General features: G+C 48.6%; 2 pseudogenes across 8 annotated transcripts in view, besides 5 other annotated features; both read left to right on the top strand.

Annotated features, from left to right (window-relative positions):
- RPL35P5 (ribosomal protein L35 pseudogene 5) lies at positions 3,123-3,577 on the top strand (annotated as a pseudogene).
- Positions 17,274-17,445: a silencer, noted in NCBI's record as "fragment chr7:66057822-66057993 (GRCh37/hg19 assembly coordinates)". NCBI's record gives its function as "represses an EF-1alpha promoter that drives an FKBP-Casp9 reporter gene in an ReSE screen in K562 erythroleukemia cells {active_cell/tissue: K562}" and the evidence as "EXISTENCE:reporter gene assay evidence [ECO:0000049][PMID:32094911]".
- Positions 17,704-17,998: an enhancer, noted in NCBI's record as "tiled region #7945; HepG2 Activating DNase unmatched - State 1:Tss, and K562 Activating DNase unmatched - State 1:Tss". NCBI's record gives its function as "activates a minimal TATA promoter and a strong SV40 promoter by Sharpr-MPRA in HepG2 and K562 cells {active_cell/tissue: HepG2 | K562}" and the evidence as "EXISTENCE:reporter gene assay evidence [ECO:0000049][PMID:27701403]".
- Positions 17,763-17,832: a silencer, noted in NCBI's record as "silent region_18208". NCBI's record gives its function as "represses an Ori minimal core promoter by ATAC-STARR-seq in GM12878 lymphoblastoid cells {active_cell/tissue: GM12878}" and the evidence as "EXISTENCE:reporter gene assay evidence [ECO:0000049][PMID:35858748]".
- RABGEF1P1 (RABGEF1 pseudogene 1) overlaps positions 17,873-23,996 on the top strand; it is a 62,103-nt pseudogene continuing 55,979 nt past the window's right edge. For 6 of the 8 annotated variants that reach the window (NR_111974.1, NR_111975.1, NR_111979.1 and 3 more), the window contains exon 1: positions 17,873-18,023. The product of NR_111974.1 is annotated as an RABGEF1 pseudogene 1, transcript variant 1 (transcript). Of the gene's footprint in view, positions 18,024-21,699; positions 21,769-23,996 lie in introns of all 8 variants that reach the window. The other 2 variants (NR_111973.1, NR_111977.1) reach the window with 1 other exon arrangement.
- Positions 18,093-18,232: a silencer, noted in NCBI's record as "silent region_18207". NCBI's record gives its function as "represses an Ori minimal core promoter by ATAC-STARR-seq in GM12878 lymphoblastoid cells {active_cell/tissue: GM12878}" and the evidence as "EXISTENCE:reporter gene assay evidence [ECO:0000049][PMID:35858748]".
- Positions 20,553-21,054: an enhancer, noted in NCBI's record as "H3K4me1 hESC enhancer chr7:66054213-66054714 (GRCh37/hg19 assembly coordinates)". NCBI's record gives its function as "activates a minimal SCP1, AML or CMV promoter by ChIP-STARR-seq in naive and primed H9 embryonic stem cells {active_cell/tissue: H9 hESC(naive and primed)}" and the evidence as "EXISTENCE:reporter gene assay evidence [ECO:0000049][PMID:30033119]".

Raw genomic sequence — 23,996 nt, 5'->3', positions numbered from 1 at the left:
AGATGGCGAAACCCCATCTCTACTAAAAATACAAAAAAATGGCCGGGAGTGGTGGCTGACGCCTGTAATCCCAGCACTTTGGGAGGCCGAGGCGGGTGGATCACGAGGTCAGGAGATTGAGACCATCCTGGCTAACACAGTGAAACCCCATCTCCACTAAAAATACAAAAAATTCTCCGGGCGTGGTGGCGGGCGTCTGTAGTCCCAGCTACTCCAGAGGCTGAGGCAGGAGAATGGCATGAGCCCGGGAGGCGGAGCTTGCAGTGAGTGGAGATCGCGCCACTGCACTCCAGCCTGGGCAACAGAGTGACACTCCGTCTCAAAAAAATAATAATAATAAAAATAAAATTACCTGGGCGTGGTAGTGGGTGCCTGTAATCCCATCTACTCAGGAGGCTGAGGCAGGGAGAATCACTAGAACCCAGGAGGCAGGGGTTGCAGTGAGCTGAGATCGCAGCATTTCTCTCCAGCCTGGGCAACAAGAGTGAAACTCCATCTCAAAAATAAAATAAAATTAAATTAAAAAGTAAAAAAAAAAGAAATACAAAAATTAACTGGGCGTGGTGGTGGGTGCCTGTAATCCAAGCTGCTTGGGAGGCTGAGGCAGGAGAATCGCTTGAACCCAGGAGGTAGAGGTTGCAGTGAGCCGAGGTCATGCCATTGCACTCCAGCCCATGCAACAAGAGCGAAATTCCGTCTCAAAAAAAAAAAAAAAAAGAACAAAAGAGTAAGTTTACCTTTACTTGATGAGCCAGGTCTCTACTCAGTGTGTGAAAAATTAAATGCTTTTTTTTTTTCTGCCACCCCAGACTTCTGGGAAAGGAACCCAGAGCTGTGCCCAAGCATCCCAGCCTTTGCCCTCAATTGCAAACAGAGTGGAGTGTCTCTTAGCTAAGAAGTTTGTGCTACTCAAGAGTTTGCACAAACACGAAGTTGAGAAATACTGCTTGTTAAAAGGCATGTAAAAGGCAAAGGACAAACTGGTTGTCCTCTGAAGTGAAGACATTTCTATTCTACGTTGGGCTAGGATCTTGGAGGATGCAGGCAGGGAACGAGTTTTGCTGGTTTTTCAATGAGAGACCCCTTATGGTAAGAGAGGCTCTTCTGTCTCTACCTGCTTAGTTACTTTGTCTCTTTGGTACCCAGTTTCCTCATGTTTAAATTTAGGGAGTGAAAGCACACGTCCCCTAAGATCCTTTCCTCTTAGCCATTCTATGAGTTAATTAATGAGATTTGTTTTCCCATTAGCATACATCCAAAAAGGCACTCAAGCTAGGTTTTCCGTGTTTCCTGGAATCTTGTAATTGCCCCAAATGAAGTGGGAGTATTTGGAAGAGAAGCCCTTCCTTGCTTCCTTTATTTCCTTTTTAGAGACAAAATCTCTCCCTGTCACCCAGGCTGGAGAGCAGTGGTGCAATCCTGGCTCACTGCAACCTCCAACTCCTGGCCTCAAGTGATCCTCCCATCCCAGCCTCTGGAGTAACTGGAACAACAGGCACACACCACCATGCCCAGCTAATTTTTAGAATTATTTTGTAGAGACAGGGTCTCACTATGTTGCCCAGGCTAGTCTCAAACTCCTGGCCTCAAGTGATCATTCTGCCTCAGCCTCCCAAAGTGCTGGGATTACAGGCGTGAGACATTGTGCCTGGCCATTCATTGCTTTTTAATAAACTTAATTACCTTCTTTTGAATATCTTTAGAACTGCAGTGGTTTTGTCTTTTGAGGCTAGAGTTGATTTCCATAAATAGTCATTTTGAGCCAGGTCTTTTGAGTAAAGTGAGTGGCCAGGGATGATGCCACAACTTTGGCTAAAACAGTTTCCCAGAGAGCAAGCCGTGAACTCTAGAATGCTATGTGCTGGTCACCGGGCCACAGTTCACTCTTCTTCTTCTTCTTCTTCTTTTTTTTTTTTTTTTTTTGAGACAGAATCTCTCTCTGTAGCCCAGGCTGGAGTGCAGTGGTATGATCTCACTCACTGCTACCTCCACCTCATGGGTCCTTGTTCAAGCTATTCTCCTGCCTCAGTCCCCTGAGTAGCTGGGAATTACAGGCACGCACCACCACGCCCAGCTAATTTTTGTATTTTTAGTAGAAACGGGGTTTCACCATGTTGGCCAGGCTGGTCTTGAACTCCTGACCTCGTGATCCACCCGCCTTGGCCTCCCAAAATGCTGGGATTACAGACGTGAGCCACCGCGCCCGGCCCACAGTTCGCTGTTCTTACCAAACTCGGAATTGCAAATTTTATTTTATTTTATTTTATTTTTTTAGACAGAGTCTTAGTCTGTCTTACAGAATGGAGTGCAGTAGTGTGATCTCGGCTCACTGCAACCTCCGCCTCCCTGGTTCAAGTGATTCTTCTGCCTCAGCCTCCCATGTAGCTGGGATTATGGGCATGCGCCACCACGCCTGGGTATTTTTTTGTCCCTTTTTTTTTTTTTTTTTTTGAGATGGTGTCTCACTCTGTCACACAGGTTGGAGTGCAGTGGTGTGATTTCAGCTCACTGCAACCTCCACCTCCTGGGTTGAAGTGATTCTCCCTGCCTCAGCCTCCCGAGTAGCTGGGATTACAGGCACCCGCCACCACACCCAGCTAATTTTTGTATTTTTAGTAGAGATGGGGTTTCACCATGGTGGCCAGGCTGGTCTCGAACTACTGACCTCAGGTGATCCGCCCCCCTCGGCCTCCCAAAGTGCTGGGATTACAGGCGTGAACCAGCACACCCGGCCTAATTTTTGTACTTTTAGTAGATACGGGGCTGGTCTCAAACTCCTGACCTCAATTGATCCGTCCACCTCAGCCTCCCAAAGTGTTGAGATTACAGCTGTGAGCCACCACGGCCAGCCTGGAATGTTTAACTGCTGAATTTGATTCCTGATTTTGGTTGTGCTAGACACTCCCACTACTTTTTTCTTTAAAAATTACTCGTTTGTTCAGCTCCTTAAAAAAATCTTTGGTGTTTTATACGTCAAAATATGTGAGGCCAGGTGTGGTGGCTCACGCCTGTAATCCCAGCATTTGGGGAAGCCAAGGTGGGAGGCTCTCTCAAGCCCAAGAGTTCAAATCCAGTCTGGGCAACATAGTGAGACCCGTCTCTACAAGAACTAAAAAAAGTAGCTCTTTCCCGAGGAGCGGGCAGCGGCGGAGGCGGCAGCGGCCTGTGCAGCAATGGCCAAGATCAAGGCTCCAGATCTTCGCGGGAAGAAGGAGGAGCTGCTGAAACAGCTGGACGACCTGAAGGTGGAGCTGTCCCAGCTGCGTGTCGCCAAAGTGACAGGCGGTGCGGCCTCCAAGCTCCCTAAGATCCTAGTCGTCCGAAAATCCATTGCCCATGTTCTCACAGTTATTAACCAGACTCAGAAAGAAAACCTCAGGAAATTCTACAAGGGCAAGAAGTACAAGCCCCTGGACCTGCGGCCTAAGAAGACACGCGCCATGCGCCGCCGGCTCAACAAGCACGAGGAGAACCTGAAGACCAAGAAGCAGCAGCGGAAGGAGCGGCTGTACCTGCTGCGGCAGTGAGCGGTCAAGGCCTGAGGTGCGCGTTGTCAATAAAGCACGTATGGCTGAGAAAAAAAAAATTATCTGGGCGTGGTGGTGCATGCATGTAGTCCCAGCTCTTGGAAGGCTGAGGCAGGAAGATCGCTTGAGCCCAAGAGGTCGAGGCTTTAGTGAGCCATGATCATGCCACTGCACTCCAGCTTGGGTGACAGAGTGAGACCCTCTCTTGAAAAAACAATAACAACAACAACAAAAAAACCAAGTAGACTAATAATTGCAGAAACATTTTCTGTGCTCCAGCTTACTTTAAAAATTAGGCCAAATCGCCGGGTGTGGTGGCTCACGCCTGTAATCCCAGCACTTTGGGAGGCAGAAGCCAGTGGATCATGAGGTCAGGAGTTTGCCACTAGCCTGGCCAGCATGGTGAAACCCCGTCTCTACTAAAAATACAAAAAAATTAGCTGGTGTGGTGGCATGCACCTGTAGTCCCAGCTACTCTGGAGGCTGATGCAGGAGAATTGCTTGAACCCGGGAGGCAGAGGTTGCAGTGAGTGAAGATCGGGGTACTGCACTCCAGCCTGGGTGACAGGGTGAGACTCCGTCTTAAAAAAAAAAAAAAAAAAATACGGCCAGGCATGGCGGCGCGCACCTGTAGTCCCAGCTACTTGGGAGGCTAAGGCAGGAGAATCGCTTGAACCTGGGAGGCAGAGGTTGCAGTGAGCAGAGATAGTGCCAGTGCACTCCCGGCTGGGCAACAGAGTGAGACTCTGCCTCAAAAAAAAAAAAAAAAAAAAGTCCAGATGAGGTGGCTGACGCCTGTAATCCCAGCACTTTGGGAGGCCAAGGTGGGCAGATCACGAGGTCAGGAGATCAAGACCATCCTGGCCAACACGGTGAAACCCCGTCTCTACTAAAGAATACAAAAAATTAGCGGGGTGTGGTGACAGGAGCCCGTAGTCCCAGCTACTCAGGAGGCTGAGGCAGGAGAATGGCATGAACCCAGGAGGCAGAGCTTGCAGTGAACGGAGATCGTGCCACTGCACTCCAGCCTGGGTGACAGAGCGAGACTCTGCCTCAAAAAAAAAAAAAAATTAGGCTGAATCTTGGCTGGGCGTGGTGGCTCACGCCTGTAATCCCAGCACTTTAGGAGGCCGAGGCGGGTGGATTGCTTGAGATGGAGAGTTCGAGACCAGCATGGCCAACATGGTGAAAGCCTATCTCTACTAAAAATATTAAAAATTAGCCAGGAATGGTGGCAGGCACCTGTAATCCCAGCTACTCGGGAGGCTGAGGCATGAGAATTGCTTAAACCTTGAAGGTCAAACTCTTGACCTCATGATCCGCCCACCTCAGGCTCCCAAAGTGCTGAGATTACAGGCGTGAGACACCGTGCCTGCTCCATCAAAGCAGTTAACTTGCATTTAGAGACAAGATGGCCAGGCATGGTGGCTCAGGCCTGTAATCCCATCCATTTGGGAGGCCAAGGTGGGATGATCACTCTAGGCCAAGAGTTTGAGACCAGACTGGCTATCATAGAGAGAACTCCATCTCTACAAAAAAAATAGTGGGTTGTGGTGGCGCAAATCTGTAGTCCTTGCTACTTGGGAGGCTGAGGCAGAACTGCTTAAGCCCAAGAGTTTGAGGCTGTAGTGAGCTATGATTGTGCCACTGCACTCCAACCAGGATGACAGAGAAAGACCCTGCCTCAAAAATAAATAAATAAAATAAAATAGACAATAGAATCTTCTGAGCTTTTCACCCTTTCCACAGGTCATAGGTGCCTGCAAGAAATAGTGAATGTTACAGGTAGACATTTTGCATTGCAACAAAATTAGGATACGTTTCCTAACCATGTTACTGTGCAGACTGAAAAGAATAAAGAGCCAGTTTGCTGGGGATATAGGAGGAATTCAGGCACTGTGCAGATGGCTGGATTTGAAGGGACTTTTCTTTTCTCTCTTTTTTTTTTTTTTTTTTGAGACTGAGTCTAGCTCATCGCCCAGGCTAGAGTTCAGTGACGCGATCTCGGCTCACTGCCACCTCTACCTCCCGGATTCAAGCGATTCTCGTGCCTCAGCATCCTGAGTAGCTGAGATTACAGGTGCGTGCCACCACATCCAGCTAATTTTTGTATTTTTAGTAGAGATGGGGTTTCACCATGTTGTCCAGATTGGTCTCGAACTCCTGACCTCATGTGATGTGATCTGCCAACCTTGGCCTCTGAAAGTGCTGGGATCATAGGTGTGAGCCACTGTGCCTGTCTGATACCACCCTCTTAAGTCTGGATTAGACCTGCTGGCTTGCTTCTTTTTTGTTTTTTTTATGAGACAAGGTCTTGCTTTGTCCTCCAGGCTGGAGTGCAGTGGTGCAATAGTTCACTGCAGCCTCAACCTCCTAAGCTCAACAAATCATCCTGCCTCAGCCTCTTGAGTAACTGGGACCACAGGCACATGCCACCACTCCCACCTAATTTTCTGTAAAGGCAGGGTCTTACTATATTGCCTAGGCTGTTCTTGAACTTCTGGCCTCAAGTGATCTTCTCACTTTGGCCTCCCAAAGTGCTGGGATTACAGGCATGAGCCACTGCACCTGGCAAGAAATAAGGTTTAATTTATTGGTGACAGCTGTCTGTCCAGTTGGCCTTGCAGAGAGCTGCTGATGTGAGTGGGTTCAGGGCCAGGTTGAGAAGCCGTGATCCTTACGAGCTCCTCTGCACCTCCACCTTCTGGAAAAGGGCAGGGTCCCCACAGTCAGACTCTTTGCCGGCTCTCGGTGGGACCTGACTCAACAACCTGCTGACTTGTTGTCATTGTGGTTCCTGGCATGTGGCACTAAGCACTATTTTTTTTTTTTTTGAGTCAGGGTCTCACTCTGTTGCCCACACTGGAGTTCAATTGTGCAATCTCAGCTCACTGCAACCTTGACCTCCCAGGCTTAAGTCATCCTTCTGCCTCAGCCTCCCAAGTAGCTGGGATCACAGGCACTTGCCACCACATCCGGCTAATTTTTGTATTACTATGACTTTTTTTTTTTTTTTTTTTTTGAGACGGAGTCTCACTCTGTCGCCCAGGCTGGAGTGCAGAGGCTGCAACCTCCGCCTCCCAGGTTCACGCCATTCTCCTGCCTCAGCCTCCTGGGTAGCTGGGACTACAGGTGCCCGCCACCAGGCCCAGCTAATTTTTTTGTGTTTTTAATAGAGACAGGGTTTCACTGTGTTAGCCAGGATGGTCTTGATCCCCTGACCTTGTGATCCCCCCGCCCCTCAGCCTCCCAAAGAGCTGGGATTACAGGTGTGAGCCACCTCGCCCAGGCTATTATTACTTTTTAGAGATACTGGGTATCCCTATGTTGTCCAGGCTGGTCTTGAACTCCTGGGTGATCCTCCCACCTCAGCCTCCCAAAGTGCTGATGTTACAAATGTGAGTCATCACAACCCAGACAGAGTTTTTTAAAAACCAAATTGAGATTTTATTTTAAAGTTTAAACAAAATTTTAAAATGTTTAAATTAGGCCAGTGCAGTGGCTCATGCCTGTAATCTAGCACTTTGGGAGGCCAAGGCGGGCTGATTACCTGAGGTAAGGAGTTCAAGACCAGCCTGGCCAACATGGTGAAACCCCGTCTCTACAAAATGCAAAATGCAAAATACAAAAAATACAAAAATTAGGCCGGGCGCCGTGGCTTACGCCTGTAATCCCAGCACTTTGAGAGGCCGAGGCGGGTGGATCATGAGGTCAGGAGATCGAGACCATCCTGGCTAACATGGTGAAACCCCGTCTCTACTGAAAATACAAAAAATTAGTAGGGCGTGGTGGCAGGTGCCTGTAGTCCCAGCTACTCAAGAGGCTGAGGCAGGAGAATGGCATGAACCCAGGAGGTAGAGCTTGCAGTGAGCCGAGATTGCGCCACTACACTCCAGCCTGGGTGACAGAGCAAGACTCTGTCTCAAAAAAAGAAAACAAACAAACAAACAAAAAATTAGCTGGTCATGGTGGTGGGTGCCTGTAATGCCAGCTACTCCGGAGGCTGAGGCAGGAGAATCACTTGAACCAGGAAGACGGAAGTTGCAGTGAGCTGAGGTCGTGCCACTTCACGCCAAGCTGGGTGACAGAGCAGGACTTCGTCTCAATCAATCAATCAATAAAATGTTTAAATTATTTTCTTAGCTGGGTGTGGTGGTGTACACCTGTGGTCCTGGCTACTTGGGGTCTGAGGCAGGGGGATGGCTTGAACCTGGGAGATAGAGGCTGCAGTGAGCTATGATCACACTACTGCACTCCAGCCTGGGTGACAGAGCAAGACCTTGTCTCAAAAAAAAAAAAAGAAAAATTTTTCCTCTGAGTCGCAGGTATTCTAACAAGCCTTGACAGCCCCCATTTTGAGATTACAGCCTGTGGCAAGGGCCTGGCAAACAGCTTCTGTGTGTATAGTTGAGGTCCTTGTGGAGTAACATGACCTCGGGCTGCATCAGTCTGTGGGTGAAAGTAAAGTTGGGTGCGGTGGCTCTCCCTGGATTCCTTGATGCTTTTAATGCCCTGAGTCCTCTACCCCACTCAACCACATTGACACTTGTGCACCAAGGTGCATGGTGTGGCCCCAGTGCCCACAGGATGGCTTGTGAGAACTGCTCCTTCAGCCCCCACCTGTGGCCTCTCCTTCTTTCTAGGGTGAAGTCTGGTTCCTGATGTTCATGCCACGCTCCTTCTCACCAGGGTGCACAGGCATCACTGTTTCTAAAACACCTCATTGAAACCTGTTCCTGGTTGGGCCACCTCACCAGTCCAGGATGGCTTTCTCTGAAGCCAGTTCTCCCACCATAGTGGAAGTAAAGAAAATCATGAAAACTGGCTGGGTGTGATGGCGCATGCCAGTAATCCCAGCACTTTGAGAGGCCAACTGGGGTGGATCACTCAAGGTCAGGAGTTTGAGACCAGCCTGGCCAACATGGCAAAAACCCATCTCTACTAAAAATACGAAAAATTAGGCCTGGCGCAGTGGCTCACGCCTGTAATCCCAGCACTTTGGGAGGCTGAGGCGGGTGGATCATGAGGTCAGGAGATCGAGACCATCCTGGCTAACAAGGTGAAACCCCGTCTCTACTAAAAATACAAAAAATTAGCCGGGCAAGGTGGCGGGCGCCTGTAGTCCCAGCTACTCGGGAGGCCGAGGCAGGAGAATGGCGTGAACCCGGGAAGCGGAGCTTGCAGTGAGCCGAGATTGCGCCACTGCAGTCCGCAGTCCAGCCTGGGCAACAGAGCGAGACTCCGTCTCAAAAAAAAAAAAAAAAAAAAAATTAGCCGGGTGTGGTGGCGTGCACTGTAATCCCAGCTACTGAGGAGGATAAGGCATGAGAATGGCTTGAACCTTGGAGGTGGAGGTTGCAGTGAGCAGAGACCATGACAGTGCACTCCAGCCAGGGTGACAGAGCAAGACTCTGTCTCAAAAAAAAAAAAAAAAAAGAAAGAAAGAAAGTTATGAAAACTCTCTCTTGAATATATGGGTACCTCCTGAACAGGGAGATGGTTGAGGGGAGCTCCTAGCAGGTGGGAGAGGGTATCCTGGTAGAGCAGGAGCTGGGACCTCAGTGTATTCAGTGTCTAGACCTCAATGGTGCCCTTTGTCACAAATATCCATCGGCATCCACTGGCTTATGTGGGGGAACCTGGGGAAAAACCAATGATATGGTTTGGCTGTGTCCCCAGCCAAATCTCATCTTGAATTTTAGCTCACATAATCCCCACGTGTTGTGGCAGGGACCCAGTAGGAGGTAATTGAATCATGGGAGCAGGTTTTTCCCAGGCTGTTCTCATGATAGTGAATAAGTCTAAAAGATCCGATGGTTTTATAAAAGGGCAGTTCCCCTGCACATGCTTTCTTGCCTGCCACCATGGAAGATGTGCCTTTGGTCTTCCTTTGCCTTCCGTCACGATTGTGAGACCTCCCCAGCCATGGTGAACAGTGAGTCCATTAAACCTCTTTTTTTAATATAAATTACCGAGGCTCAGGCATGTCTATCCCTATTTCTTTTATTTCTTTTTTTTTTTTTTTTTGAGACAGTCTCTCTCTGTTGCCCAGGGTAGAGTGCAGTGGCGCGATATTGGCTCACTGCAACCTCCGTCTCCTGGGTACAAGCGATTCTCCTGCCTCAGCCTTCTGAGTAGCTGGGATTACAGGCACCCGCCACCATGCCTGGCTAATTTTTGTATTTTTAGTAGAGATGGAGTTTCACCATGTTGGTCAGGCTGGTCTTGAACTCCTGACCTCATGTTCCGCCCGCCTCGGCCTCCAAAGTGCTGAGATTACAGGCGTGAGCCACCGCTCTGGACTCTTTTTTTTTTTTTGACACAGAGTTCCGCTCTGTCACCCAGGCTGGAGTGCATTGGCATGATCTCAGTTCACTGCAACCTCTGCCTTCCTGGTTCAAGCGATTCTCCTGCCTCAGCCTCCTGGGTAGCTGGGACTACAGGTGCCCGCCACCATGCCTGGCTAATTTTTCATATTTTTAGTAGAGATGGGGGTTCACTGTGTTAGCCTGATGGTCTCGATCTCATGATGTTGTGATCTGCCTGCCTCGGCCTCCCAAAGTGCTGGCTCATTACAGGCATGAGCCACCAGGCCTGGCCTTTGCCATCTTTTTTTTTTTTTTTTTTTTTTTTTGAGATGGAGTCTCGCTCTTGTTGTCCAGGTTGGAGTGCAATGATGCGATCTTGGCTCAACACAACCTCCACCTCCCAGGTTCCAGCGATTCTCCTGCCTCAGCCTACCGAGTAGCTGGGATTACAGGCATGCGCCACCATGCCTGGCTAATTTTTTATTTTTAGTAGAGAAGGGGTTTCTCCATGTTGGTCAGGCTGGTCTCAAAATCCCAACCTCAGGTGATCCACTCGCCTCAGCCTCCCAAAGTGCTGGGATTACGGGCATAAGCCACCGCGCCTGGCCAGGATTATCTTAATGTAATACAGACCCTCATTTCTTCCCCGTATCATATGATCCTGGAAGATGGCCCAGCCCCAGTAGATTTTTGGAATGGAGATATCCATACTTTTCTCAGTCATTATTAAAATCAAGAAATAGAATCACATAGCAACACAAAACTTGGAGCTTGACCCCCATTAAAAGAAATTTACAGGTTCAGAGTCCAGTTGAAGAAATCTTTATATCTTCAGTATTTTTGTAAAGAGGTCAGGGTGGTATCATGAGTAGGCTTAAGTCCCTACAATGTGTATGAACTTTTATAAATGCCTTGGGTATCCAGTTTCTCAACATAGCATCTTCATCACCAACTGTACCTCAGCTGACTCTGCCCCAAGGACCCACCCGTGTGTGCACACGTTGCAGGTGTTTACTGTCCCTCTCACCATGTCCTCTCCACCTCTCCCCTCTGTTTGTAACTGTCCTGTCTTTGGCATTTAAAAGCTGGTTGGCCATGGCTGGGTGCAGTGGCTCACGCCTGTAGTCCCAGCACTTTGGGAGGCCGAGGTGGGCGGAGCAGGAGGTCAAGAGATCGAGACCATCCTGGCTAATATGGTGAAACCGCGTCTGTACTAAAAATACAGAAAAATTAGCCCGGCATGGTGGCAGGTGCCTGTAGTCCCAGTTACTCGAGAGGTTGAGGCAGGAGAATGGCGTGAACCCAGGAGGTGGAGCTTGCAGTGAGCGGAGATCACACCACTGCACTCCAGCCTGGGTGACAGAGTGAGACTCAGGAAAAAAAAAAAAAAAAAATGCCGGTTGGCCACTTCTGGCCATGCCTTATCTGGTACCTGTTAGCCAACCATGACAGTGATGCCATACCCAGGACTGTCTGCTTCTTATTCTCAGGCAGGTAGGTGCTCCCAGCACTGATGTCCCTTGCTTTCCAAGTCAGCTTTTACATGTGGCCTGCTAGGAACTGGAGAGCATTTTCAGTCTCCTCAGCAGCAGCAGCAGCAGCAGCAGCAGCAGCAGAGGATCCTGCAGGCTCTATATCCACCTAAGTTAAGGTAAGGTGGATACACATCCTGGAAGCTCTGTATCTACCTCCACAACAGCTGCAGAGGATGCCTGCAGGATCCCACTGAGCAGACACACTAGCTTCACCTTCTGCACCAGAAAGGAAGAATTTAATTATTTTTGCCTGGCCAGGCATGGTGGTTCACACCTGTAATCCTATAGCACTTTGAGAGGCAGAGTCAAGAGGATTGCCTGAGGCCAAGAGTCCAGGACCAGCCTGGGTGACACAGCAAGATCCTGTGTCTAAAAAAAAACAAAATTCAGGCCAGGCGCGGTGGCTCACGCCTGTAATCCCAGGACTTTGGGAGGCCAAGGCAGGTGGATCATGAGGTCAGGAGTTCAATATCAACCTGGACAAGATGGTGAAACCCCATCTCTACTAAAAATACAAAAAAATTAGCCGGGCGTGGTGGCGGGCACCTGCAATCTCAGCTATTCAGGAGGCTGAGGCAGAGAATTGCTTGAACCCAAGTGGCGGAGGTTGCAGTGAGCCGAGATCACGCCACTGCACTCCAGCCTGGGCAACGAAATGAGACTCAGTCTCAAAAAAAAAAAATTCAAAAACATAAGACAGGCAGGGTGGTGTGCACCTGCAGTCCCAGCTACTTGGGAGCCTGAAGTGGGAGGTTCACTTGAGCCCATGAGGTTGAGGTTGCAGTGATCCATGATTGCACCACTGCAGTCCAGCCTCAGTGACAGAGCAAGACCCCGTCTCTAAAATAAAAAGTAAAATAAATAAATAAATAAATAAATATGTTACCTGGAAACTGAGTTCACCACGAGTTTCCTAACAAAAATATGAACTTCACTAATGAGCTGACCACATCGCTATTAGTTGAAATGAGGGTGGTATTATTCACTCACCACTCCCAGGAGTCAAGGCAGAATGTAATTGCTTCCAGACATATTCAGGGGATATTCCACCCAATTATCTAATTTTATTCTTCAAAGGCAGCTATATTTGGAAACTCCCATTGGTCCAGAGAGGCAGAATAATGAGAAGAAATCCCCTGTCCAGTTACCTGCAGGAATATTCCACCACTTCCATGGGCTAGAGGATTCCACTGAGATAGGGTTTACGACTTGATTTTGAACACCTGTCAACATATTCTCTGTTTGCATGGCAATTCTGACCGTTTTATGGCAACAATACCCCTGGGACAACCTGGATTTGTGGACTGAGATCCAAAGGTAGAATTTCCAGACAGTCCAACCAATATCAAGTGATGTTTCCAGAGTGGAAGGCTCTCACAGTGTCCCAGGATTTCTGGGGTTTATAAGCAGTACTGGCCATTTGTGACCCTGTTTTTTACCTAATCATTCTGTCTTTTTAGGATATGGGTTTACCAGATCCCTGGCCAAGGATCCAGCATTCCAATAGCTGAAAACCCTGTATATCTTTTCTCCTATCCTGCCTTACCCAAGACACACTTGAACCCCTCAGTAAGGCTATACAGAGGGCCATAAGCAGGGGCAGCCTCTCCCTTGTTTCTGCAGCTCCATGATGAGGGGTTGGCTGAGGCCAGCAATCCTTGTAGGTGTGACAGTTGCAATATAATCAACAGTTTCAAGGTCTACAGGCACCGTTTGAAAGAACCGCTTTAGGGATGCCTATCTACAGCAGCCTGGAGCAGCCAAGGTGAACCTGAGATTTTGACCCACACAATAAGGGGTGGGGGGCATTCTTTTTCAAATATTTTGGCTTCAGCAGACACTTCATTACATATGCAAATATTGAGAGATTAACAGAAATTCCAGCTCTTATGCCTGACTGAGAAGAGCCACTGCAAGTTGCAGTTAGGTACCCATGTGCAGCAGAGGCCAGCTGAATCCCAGAGCTTCCCAAAGTGGACACCAGCGGGGACTATTCCTGATGTCCCACCCAAGAGAGGAAGATGAACTCTGGTGCTGCTGCTCTGCCCAAATGCATCCCATGTGCATTCACGTGTCACCCATTCAAAATAAATAACATGGAATTCTTGGAACCTTGTATCTGACATGTAAGACCAGCTTACACATTGGGCTGGGTGCAGGGGCTCACACCTGTAATCCTAGCACTTTGGAAGGCTGAGGTGGGCAGATTGCTTGAGCACAGGAGTTCCAGACCAGCCTGAACAACATGGTGAAATCCTGTCTCTTCAAGAAATATTAAAAAAAAAAAATTGGGCTGGGCACAGTGGCTCATGCCTGTAATCCCAGCACTTTGGGAGGCCGAGGCAGGTGGATCACCTGAGGTCGAGAGTTCAAGACCAGCCTGACCAACATGGAGAAACCCTGTCTCTACTAAAAATGCAAAATTAGCCAGTCGTAGTGGTGCATGCCTGTATTCCCAGCTACTAAGGAGGCTGAGGCAGGAGAATTGCTTGAACCTGGGAGACGGAGGTTGTGGTGAGCTGAGGTCATGCCATTGCATTCCAGCCTAGGCAACAAGAATGAAACTCTGCCTCAAAAAAAAAAAAAAAAAATTGGCTGGGTGTGGTGGTACATGCCTGTAGTCCCAGCTACTTAGGAGGCTGAGGTGGAAGGATTGCCTGTGCCCAGGAGGTCAAGGTTGCAGTGAGTTGTAATCAGGCCACTGCACACCAGCCTGGGAAACAGAGTGAGACCCAGTCTCAAAAAAAAAGTCTACACCATCATTGTCTCCTTGGGTCATCTGGCCTGTCTTGTATTTAGGGTCATTTGTATTAGGAGATAGAAATCACAGAGTAATTTGAATAATTTATACCTTTAATTAGAGAAGTGAGGGATCAGCAAATAAAGATAACTATAAAGAAATAGGTCAAGAAAGGGGCTGGAACAAAGTGGCGACATTTTGGGATAGCCATTGTGGGAGAAACAGAGACGAAATTGCATGAGGACAAACAATAATTTCCAAGCAGCACTGAGGACCTGGATGAAGCGAGAAAACCAGCTCTGATGAGTTGTAGTAACTCAGATCAGATCAGCTTTTCATTTGTCTCACAAGGCCCAGCGATCAACATGAGAGAGCGAGAAAGCCAGATAGCTGGGGGGTCCTGGCAAGATGACGAGTAGAGGCAGTGCTCAAGCAGTGAGCATCAAAGGATGGGGCTAACCTGCGGGAATGTGGTTGGAATGATGGGACCTGGATGAAGTAAAGAAGAAATAAGACAGGGGCCAGTTTCTGGACTCTGCAACTGGGAAAGGTGTACAGGTCCAAAGCCTGATAGGGTCTGAAAGCAAGCTTATGACACAAGGGTGTTGAGAAAGTAAGATGATGGTCATCAGATGGGGATTCCATAAGACTAGATTTTGGATGGGATCTACTCTACCTAACTCTATGAGGGGAGGTGGCAGTTAGAAGCCAGAAGGTGAGAATATCAAATGGGCCATTGTTAGCCGGGCATGATGGTGTGTACCTGTAATCCCAGCTCCTTGGAGACTGAGGCAGGAGAATCGCTTGAACCTGGGGGTGGAGGTTGCAGTGAGCCGAGATCGTGCCACTGCACTCTAGCCTGGGCAACAGAGTGAGACTTTGTCTCAAAACAAAACAAACAAAAAAATCAAATGGGCCGTTGTCATGGATGTCCAGCATGGAGACCCACTATCTGCCAAGTGCCCACACACTGTTGGATTTAGTGAACAACTTAGATGTCAGTGGGTGACCAAAATGAGGAAAGGCATGGCTGGAATATGGCAGCCACTGTTGGCTGGAAATGGCCAAGGAGTAATTGTGAACTTTATAGTGAACTTGAGTCCAAGCTGCTATTTAACTGTTCAATAAATGAACAAGCATCATTAGCTGAAACAGAATGTAAAGAAAAATAAGAGGGAGAAATCAGACTTTGATTTCAGGACTATTTCTAATTTAGGCTCCAAAGCTTAAGAGAAGTACAGAGGACTTGATTTTTAGAAAAACTTAAAAATTATTAAATAGATAAGATCATATTCAGAGCTAAATTTAACCAGAATCTAACATTGTTTCCCAGATGAAGAGTTTCACAAAGCCGACTAACTAGTCCAGCTGACTCCCTAGGCTGCTGGGTAGCAGAGTGGGGACATGTCTGTGTGCTGAGACTTGGTGTGTCCCTGTCTTGAAGCCCAGGGCCTGGCTCTGCACTGCCAGGTTACCCAGATGCAGTTATAGAAGAAAAGCCAAAACAACTTGCAGAAAATAAGTCTGCCGAAAAGATAAATAATAGTATTCCAATACATGAACAGACTTGTGACATCTCTTCTCTGGGGACAGAACAAGAGGATACAGGTTTATATCCCAGCAAGAGGAATTCTGCCGAGACCAGTTCGGTCAGGGAGACCCTAACCCAGCGGCGGTAGAGGAATTAAAGATACACACACAGAAATATAGAGGTGTGAAGGGGGAAATCAGGGGTCTCACAGCCTTCAGAACTGAGAACCCTGAACAGAGATTTACCCACGTATTTATTAACAGCAAGCCAGTCATTAGCATTGTTTCTATAAGATATTAAATTAACCAAAAGTATCCCTTATGGGAAACGAAGGGATGGGCCGAATTAAAGGAATAGGTTGGGCTAGTTAACTGCAGCAGGAGCATGTCCTTAAGGCACAGAGCGCTCATGCTATTGTTTGTGGCTTAAGAATGCCTATAAGCGTTTTTCTGGTTTTCCGCCCTGGGTGGGCCAGGTGTTCCTTGCCCTCATTCCGGTAAACCCACAATCTTCCAGCAAGGGCGTTATGGCCATCATGAACATGTCACAGTGCTGCAGAGATTTTGTTTATGGCCAGTTTTGGGGCCAGTTTATGGCCAGATTTTGGGGGGCCTGTTCCCATCAGATTCTACATTAAATACAAGGAAACTTGGCCGGGCACGGTGGCTCACGCCTGTAATCCCAGCACTTTGGGAGGCCGAGGTGGGCGGATCGCGAGGTCAGGAGATCGAGACCATCCTGGCTAACACGGTGAAACCCCGTCTCTACTAAAAATACAAAAAAATTAGCCGGGTGTGGTGGGCGCCTGTAGTTCCAGCTACTCGGGAGGCTGAGGCAGGAGAATGGCGAGAACCTGGGAGGCAGAGCTTGCAGTGAGCCGAGATCACACCACTGCGCTAGCCTGGGTGACAGAGCGAGACTCCGTCTCAGAAAAAAAAAAAAAAAAGGAAAGTTTCTAACTGGAGATATGAGATGAGCTACACAAGAAGAAGCCAAAACATCTGCCCTGGTGCTGCACTGTTGCTCAGTCGTATCATTTTCTGAGTCCTGAGAGTTTTCATATTTGGATAAGTGATCAGTCTGAAAGTCACTTAAGTCCTGCCTAAACTCCAGGACAGCTGGCATCTTCCTTCTCCTCTTTCTTCTCACGTGGCTTCACCCTCACAGTCCCTCATGCTCTCAACTTGGAGCCATCATCTTATCACGATCTCCCTAGCCTCCCTAACCCTCACTCCTGCCTGGTTATTCTATATCACCATGTTATTTATTTTTTAAGTAATTATGATTACGTTATAGGCTTAATTGTGATCCCCACCAGATTCATATGTTGTAGTCCTAATCCCAGTACATCAGAATGCAACTGTATTTAGAAACAAGGTCTCTAAAGAGGTGAGTTAAGATGATGCCATTAGGGTGGGCCCTAATCCAATTCAACTGGTGACTTTATAAAAAGAGGAAATTTGGACACACACAGAGACACTAAAAATGCATGTTCACAGAGAAAAGGCCATGTAAGGACACAGTGAAGAGGTCACTTTCACTGGTGTCCGTGTGAAGAGACCACCAAACAGGCTTTGTGTTAGCAACAAGGCTGTTTATTTCACCTGGGTGCAGGCAGGCTGAGTCCTGGAAGGGACTCAGAGTCAGGGAAGGCAGATAGGGGTGGGGCTGTTTTATAGGATTTGGGTAGGTAAAGGAAAATTTCAGTCAAAGGGGGTTGTTCTCTGGCAGGTAGGGGCGGGGGACACAAGGTGCTCAGTGGGGAAGCTTTTGAGCCAGGATGAGCCAGGAAAAGGAATTTCACAAGGTAATGTCATCAGTTAAGGCAGTAACAGGCCATTTTCACTTCTTTTGTGATTCTTCAGTTACTTCAGGCCATCTGGATGTATACATGCAGGTCACAAGGGATATGATGGCTTAGCTTGGGCTCGGAGGCCTGACAGTGACTATCTATAAGCCAAGAAGAGAGGCCTCAGGAGAAACCAAACCTGCCAGTTCTGTGATCTTATCTTGGATTTCTTTTTTTTTTTTTTTTTCGTTTTTTTAGAGGGAATCTCTCTCTTTTACCCACGCTGGAGTGCAGTGGCACGATCTCGGCTCACCGCAACCTCTGCCTCCCAGGTTCAACAGATCCTCCTGCCTCAGCCTTTCTAGTAGGTGGGGTTACAGGCACGCGCCACCTTTGGATCCACACCTCCTCCCGTCCTGAGCCAAAGGCCACGGAAGTGACGTTTGCACGCCGTGCGTAACGTGCATTCTGGCGGTGCCGGGAGCGGGGCGAGGAGGAGGGTGGGTATGAGGCGGTAGCGGACCGCGGAGTCGAGACCTACCCGAACGACGCGGGCGAGCGGGGCTTTGGACGCCGGTGGAGACGCAGGCGAGGTACGGAGCGGAAGGACTAGGGCCAAGAGCAGCGCGGCTCTCAGCTCCGGGAGCGGGGCGGCGAGGTGTCTCGGGCCGGGGTTGGGGGGAGCGGTTGGTCTGTGCCGTCCGCGCGGCGGGGGCGGTTGCGCGTCGGTGCCTCCCGCTGTCCTTCGTCCCACATTCCAGCCTCGTCAGCCCCGCCTGCCCCGTTCCAGGCCGCCCTCGGCTCCCTTAATCCTCCCAGTGCGCGGCTTCTCTGTCTCAGGCGCTGGTTGCCGGCGTCTGCAGCGGCCGGCCAAGCCCCGAAGGCGTGAGGCGGAGCATTTCTTGGCCGCCTCCCTCTGCGGCGGCTTCCCTCGGCCCGGCTCCCACTTCCCCGTCCAGGACGCTGGTTCCGAAGCAACATTTGTGGTCGGGCGGGGCCTCTCACAGAACATCCCCGGAACGCTCCGGGATGGGACTCTCGGACCCAAACCACAGACCCCGGCCGCGGCAGGGGCGCCGGGACTTGATCCCGCGTTGCCCTGGGGGGACAGAAGCGTCCCGGAGTGGGGAGGGGATTTGAAGCCTGTGGTCCTGATTTCCACCCCGTGGCTGAGGGCGAGGCTGCGGGGCTGGGGTTAGGAGCAGAAGTCCCTGCTTCCGAACCGTCTGGGAGGAGAGCCGAGGGGTGCCCATCACGGCAGTTGAGGGAGAGAGAAGGGGGGACTCTGCCGCTTTGGAGGCTAGGTCATAGGCAGCTGGCGGTGTCTCAGCGCGGGTGACCAATCCTTGCGGTTGGGAAATGTGTCGTGGGCGCCCGTGGACTCGTTTTGCCTTTGAGATTAAATAGGAGATTTTTCCAGGACGAGTTTACCGGAGCACCTTGGGAGTTGGTTTTTGGCTCGGAGAGCTACTTTCCTCCCTCTAAACCTGAAACTGCTTTGTTTTTATTTATTATATTTTTCGACATGGGATCTCACAGTGTTGCCCAGGCAGGTGTGAAACTCCTGGCCTTAAGCGATGCTCCCGCCTCGGCCTCCTAGAGTGCTGGGATTATAGGCGTGAGCCATCGCGTGGCTTTAACTGCTGTTGGAGTCTGCTCCTTAAAATTGTTATGCCAAGAAACTTGCCAGAGATGCAAGAAAATGTGATTATATTGTTAATATTTAATGATAAATAACATTTTGCTTTTAAGAGTTACTGATTCATATCTGCAGGATTAAGAAGTGTTCAGGATTTGAATTTTTAATGACCTTCCAAGCAGTCATGTTTCTGCTCTCTAGAAGTTAGCCAGTTGAGGAGAAGGGACAGTCAAGATACTTTCAAAACAGTGTGGTAAGGAGTGTGAGCTAAGATGGAGCACCGAGGAAGGAGCCGGGCATTTAGGCCGTGCTGTTGGGTGTGGAGCCTAGAAGGGATCAGGGAATACTTTCTGCATGTGTCTTGAAGAATGAGTAACATTCATACTAACAGGGTGGAGTGACGGAGAGGGGGGAACCAAAGGAGAGGAGGCCAGTAACTACAAGGAGGTGCTTATTTATTTATTTAATTGAGAGAGAGGGTCTCACTTTGTCACCCAGGCTGGAGTACAGTGACACGATCACGAGTCACTGAAGTCTCAACTGCCTGGGCTCAAGTGATCCTCCCACCTCAACCTCCTGAGTACCTAAGACTGCAGATGCGTGCCACCACACCTAGCTGATTTTTAAAGATTTTGTAAAGATGGGGTCTTGCTGTGTTGCCCGGGTTGGTCTTGAATTCCTGGACTCAAGCAGTCCTCCCTCCTCAAGTGTCCCAAAGTGCTGAAATTACAGGCATGGGCTACCGAGCCTGGAGGGTGGTTATTAAAGTGAAAAAGTGCAGGACAGAGATGTAGGAGCTTAGGCTTCATCTGATGGTGACAGAACCAGGGAAGAGTTTTTAGCTGGGTCCTTTTATGGTTAAAACGGGTCTCTCTGGCAGGCACTGTGGCTCACGCCTGTAATCCCAGCACTTTGGGAGGCTGAGGCGGTTGGATCACAGGGTCAGGAGTTCGAGACCAGCCTGAGCAACATGGTGAAACCCCATCTCTGCTAAAAACACAAAAATTAGCCAGGTGTGATGGCGCCTACCTGTAATCCTAGCTACTCAGGAGGCTGAGGCAGGAGAATTGCTTGAACCCAGGAGGTGGAGTTTGTGGTGAGCCGAGATCATACCAATGCACTCCAGCCTGGGCAACACAGTGAGACTTCGTCTCAAAAAAAAAAAAAAATGGGTCTCTCTCTCTCTCTCGAATGCAGTGGCGGGAACACAGCTCACTGCAGCCTCCACCACCCAGGCTTAAGCGATCCTCTTGTCTCAGACTCTCAAGTAGCTGGGACCACAGGCCTGCCACCTACTAATTTAGCTTGCCTCGTTAATTTTTTTTTTTTTTGAGATGGATTTTCGCTCTGTCCTCCAGGCTGGAGTGCAGTGGCGCGATCTGGGCTCACTGCAAGGTCCGCCTCCTGGGTTCAAGGGCTTCTCTTGCCTCAGCCTTCTGAGTAGCTGGGACTATAGGCGCGCATCTATAGTAATCCCAGCACTTTGGAAGTCCGAGGCGGGCCGATCACAAGGTCAGGAGTTCGAGCCCAGCTTGGCCAACATGGTGAAACCCTGTTGTGGTGGTGGGCACCTGTAATCCCAGCTACTGGGAGACTGAGGCAGGAGAATCACTTGAAACCGGAAGGTGGAGGTTGCAGTGAGCCGAGATCACGCCACTGCACTCTAGCCTGTGGAAGAAGAGTGAAACTCTGTCTCAAACAAAAAAAAGTCTTGATTTTCGTATTTTCCAAAAGCTCTCTCATGGTTCCTCATATTCAGAAAAGGGAGTCTCCCATTGGGAATGAAGTCATGAGAAGAAATGGACATTTTCATAATTGTGGTGTTTTCTTTATAGTAGTGGTTCTCAAAGGTAGTTCCTAGCAGTATCACCTGGAAACTTGTTAAATTCGAATTCTCAGGCCCTATCCCAGGCCAGCTGAATCAGAAACTGAGGTTGGACCCAGTACTCTGTGTTTTAACTAGTCTTCCAAGTGATATTGATGTGCATTCAAGTCTGAGAAACACTGCTTGTCAGGTTAGTTGTTTGCTGTTTAATTTTTTACTCCCACCTTCACTGGGCCCTGGAGAGTGTGGAAGGGACAAAAGTGAGAGAACACTGTCTCTGCAGGTACTGTGCCAGTCTTCTGATGAATCGTTTGAGAAACTTAGAAAACATCTGTTGAGCACCTGCTCAGTTCCTGGCACTGTGCTAAGTGGCTAAGAGCATGGGGTGGACATGTAAGCAAGTAATTGTAATAGGACATGAGTATTATAATGGCTGTATTTATAAAAAGCTACAGGAACTGGAGAGAGAATTACCCTGTCAGTGGGGAAGTTGGAGTCAGATGTCCCTTGATCCTTGAACAGGGTAGGATTTGAAGGTGAACAGACAGAAGGGTATTCTAAGTGGGTTCGTACATAGGATGACCATGCAATTTATTATCCACAGGTGGTCACTTTTGAGAATCAAAGGGGGTGCTTTTAGGCCAGGACTGTTGCTTGCTAACTGGGGTGTATGATTGCCCTATTTGTAAAGAATAAGTGATGCTGTGAACCCAGAGTTCGATGTAAATTTGTGGAAAACTCATTTCTTCTAATTATTTGTAGAGTTTACAACAATTCTTATTGGATGGTATGTTTTTTTCCCTAGGGCTGCTGTAAAATATTACAGGCATACTTTGGAGATGTTATGGGTTTGGTTCCACATCACTGCAATAAAGTGAGTCACACAAATTTTTGTGTTACCCAGTGGATATAAAAGTTGTATTTTGGGCCAGACTCCCTCTGCATCTCTGTGTTTCAGTTGGGGTAGGGTAATTTTCCTTTGAGTTTGAAGAGCTGTCCCTGGTATTTCTTCCAGTGGATGTCTTCCCATAACAATTTTTTTTCCTCATCTGAAAATGTCTATGTAGCCTTTTTTTTTTTTTTTTTTTGAGACAGAGTCTCACAGTGTCACTTGGGCTGGTATGCAGTGGTGAGATCTTGGCTCGCTGCAACCTCCCCCTCCCTGGTTCAAGCGATTCTCCTGCCTCAGTCTCCTATGTAGCTGGGACTACAGGCGCACGCCATCACGCCCGGCTAATTTTTGTAGTTTTAGTAGAGATGGGGTTTCCCTATGTTGGCCAGGCTGGTCTTGATCTCCTGACCTTGTGATCCACCTGCCTCTGCTTCCTGAAGTGCTGGGATTACAGGCATGAGCCAACTCGCCAGGCCATTTTTTTTTTGAGACGGAGTCTCGCTCCATCGCCCAAGCTGGAGTGCAGTGGCACGATCTCATCTCACTGCAACCTCTGTCTCCTGGGTTCAAGCGATTCTCCTGCCTCAGCCTCCCATGTAGCTGGGACTACTTGCACATGCCACCATGCCTGGCTAATTTTTTGTATTTTTAGTAGAGACTGGGTTTCACCATGTTAGCCAGGACAGTCTCCATCTCCTGATCTCGTGATCTGCCCACCTTGGCCTCCCAAAGTGCTGGGAGTACAGGTGTGAGCCACTGTACCAGGCCTTTGCCATCAGCTTTTAAAGGAAGTGGTCACTTAGAACTGTATCCTAGGTGGGCAGGTTTTTTCTTTCAGCTTTTTTTTTTTTTTTAAAGCCATCATACTTTAGATTGTTTCAGCACTGTCAAATTATCTTCTGGCTTTTATTATTTCTGTTTAGAATTTAAGCCAGGCATGGTGGCTCACACCTGTAATCCCAGCACTTTGGAAAGCCACAGCAGGCGGATCACATGAGCCCAGGAGTTGGAGACCAGCCTGGCCAACAGGGTGAGGCCCTGTAGCAGCATGTGGTAGCCCTTTTTCAGTACATTGGTCAGTCCAGCTCAGTTGGATGTCATTTACATATGTGTCTTATATTTTAGATACAAGAGATTTCTTAAAAGCTTAGAGCATAACACAGATATTTATTTGATTGCGCCATCTAACAAATCTGAATAAATACATTTCAGGTCTAGGCATTGCGTTTTGTATTTCTCTAAACTAGTGTGGGCGTGTGTGTATGTGTGTATCACTTTACCCAGCCACAGCAAGTGAGTATGGATGAAATGGCTGCAGCAAAGCTAAAACTATGATATGCCTTTCAGAAAAAAATTCTGAGCTGAGTGCATTGGCTCATTCCTGTAATTCCAGCACTTTGTGTGGCCAAGATGGGAGGATTGCTTGAGGCCAGGAGTTTGAGACCAGCCTGGGCAATATAGCTAGATCCTGTCTCTGTTGGCCAGGCGCGGTGGCTCACACCTGTAATCCCAGCACTTTGGGAGGCCAAGGCAGGTGGATCACAAGGTCAGGAGATCAAGACCATCCTGGTTAACATGGTGAAACCCCGTCTCTAATAAAAATACAAAAGATTAGCCAGGAATGGTGGCGGGTGCCTGTAGTCCCGGCTGCTCTGGAGGCTGAGGCAGGAGAATGGCATCAACCCAGAGGCAGAGCTTGGAGTAAGCCAAGATCGCGCCACTGTTCTCCAGCCTGGGCGACAGAGTGAGACTCAGTCTGGAAAAAAAAAAAAATTATCCAGGGTTGTTGGTGCACACGTGTAGTCCCAGCTACTTGGGAGGCTAAAGTGGGGAGGATCACTTGAGTCCGGGCAGTCATGGTTATGGTGAGCTGTGATAATGCCACTGCACTCTAGCCTGGGTTATAGAGCGAGACAATATGTCAAATAAAGAAAAGAAAAGAAACTTAAGAAAAGAAATGCCTTTAACAGAGACCATCTCATGTATTGCAGGTTGCTGTTACTTTAGGTGGAGTTAAGATAAATAATTTTTGGTTAGTGACTTAGTGAATAAATTGACCATATGTGCTACTTCCCTGGGCGAGGGCATAGAGAATGGTACAAAGTAGGCTGCAGTAGCCAGATTATCTTGTATGTAATTTTGAGCTGTTAGTCTGGAGAAGGGCATGCTCAGATTAGAGTTACAATTTTGCTTAACCAAGGAGGGTGTGA

The sequence above is a fragment of the Homo sapiens genome, chromosome 7, assembly GCF_000001405.40.
Source record: "Homo sapiens chromosome 7, GRCh38.p14 Primary Assembly".
Taxonomy (NCBI): Eukaryota; Metazoa; Chordata; class Mammalia; order Primates; family Hominidae; genus Homo; species Homo sapiens.
Note: the sequence above shows the minus strand (reverse complement) of the source record. Positions and strands in the feature narration are given on the sequence as shown.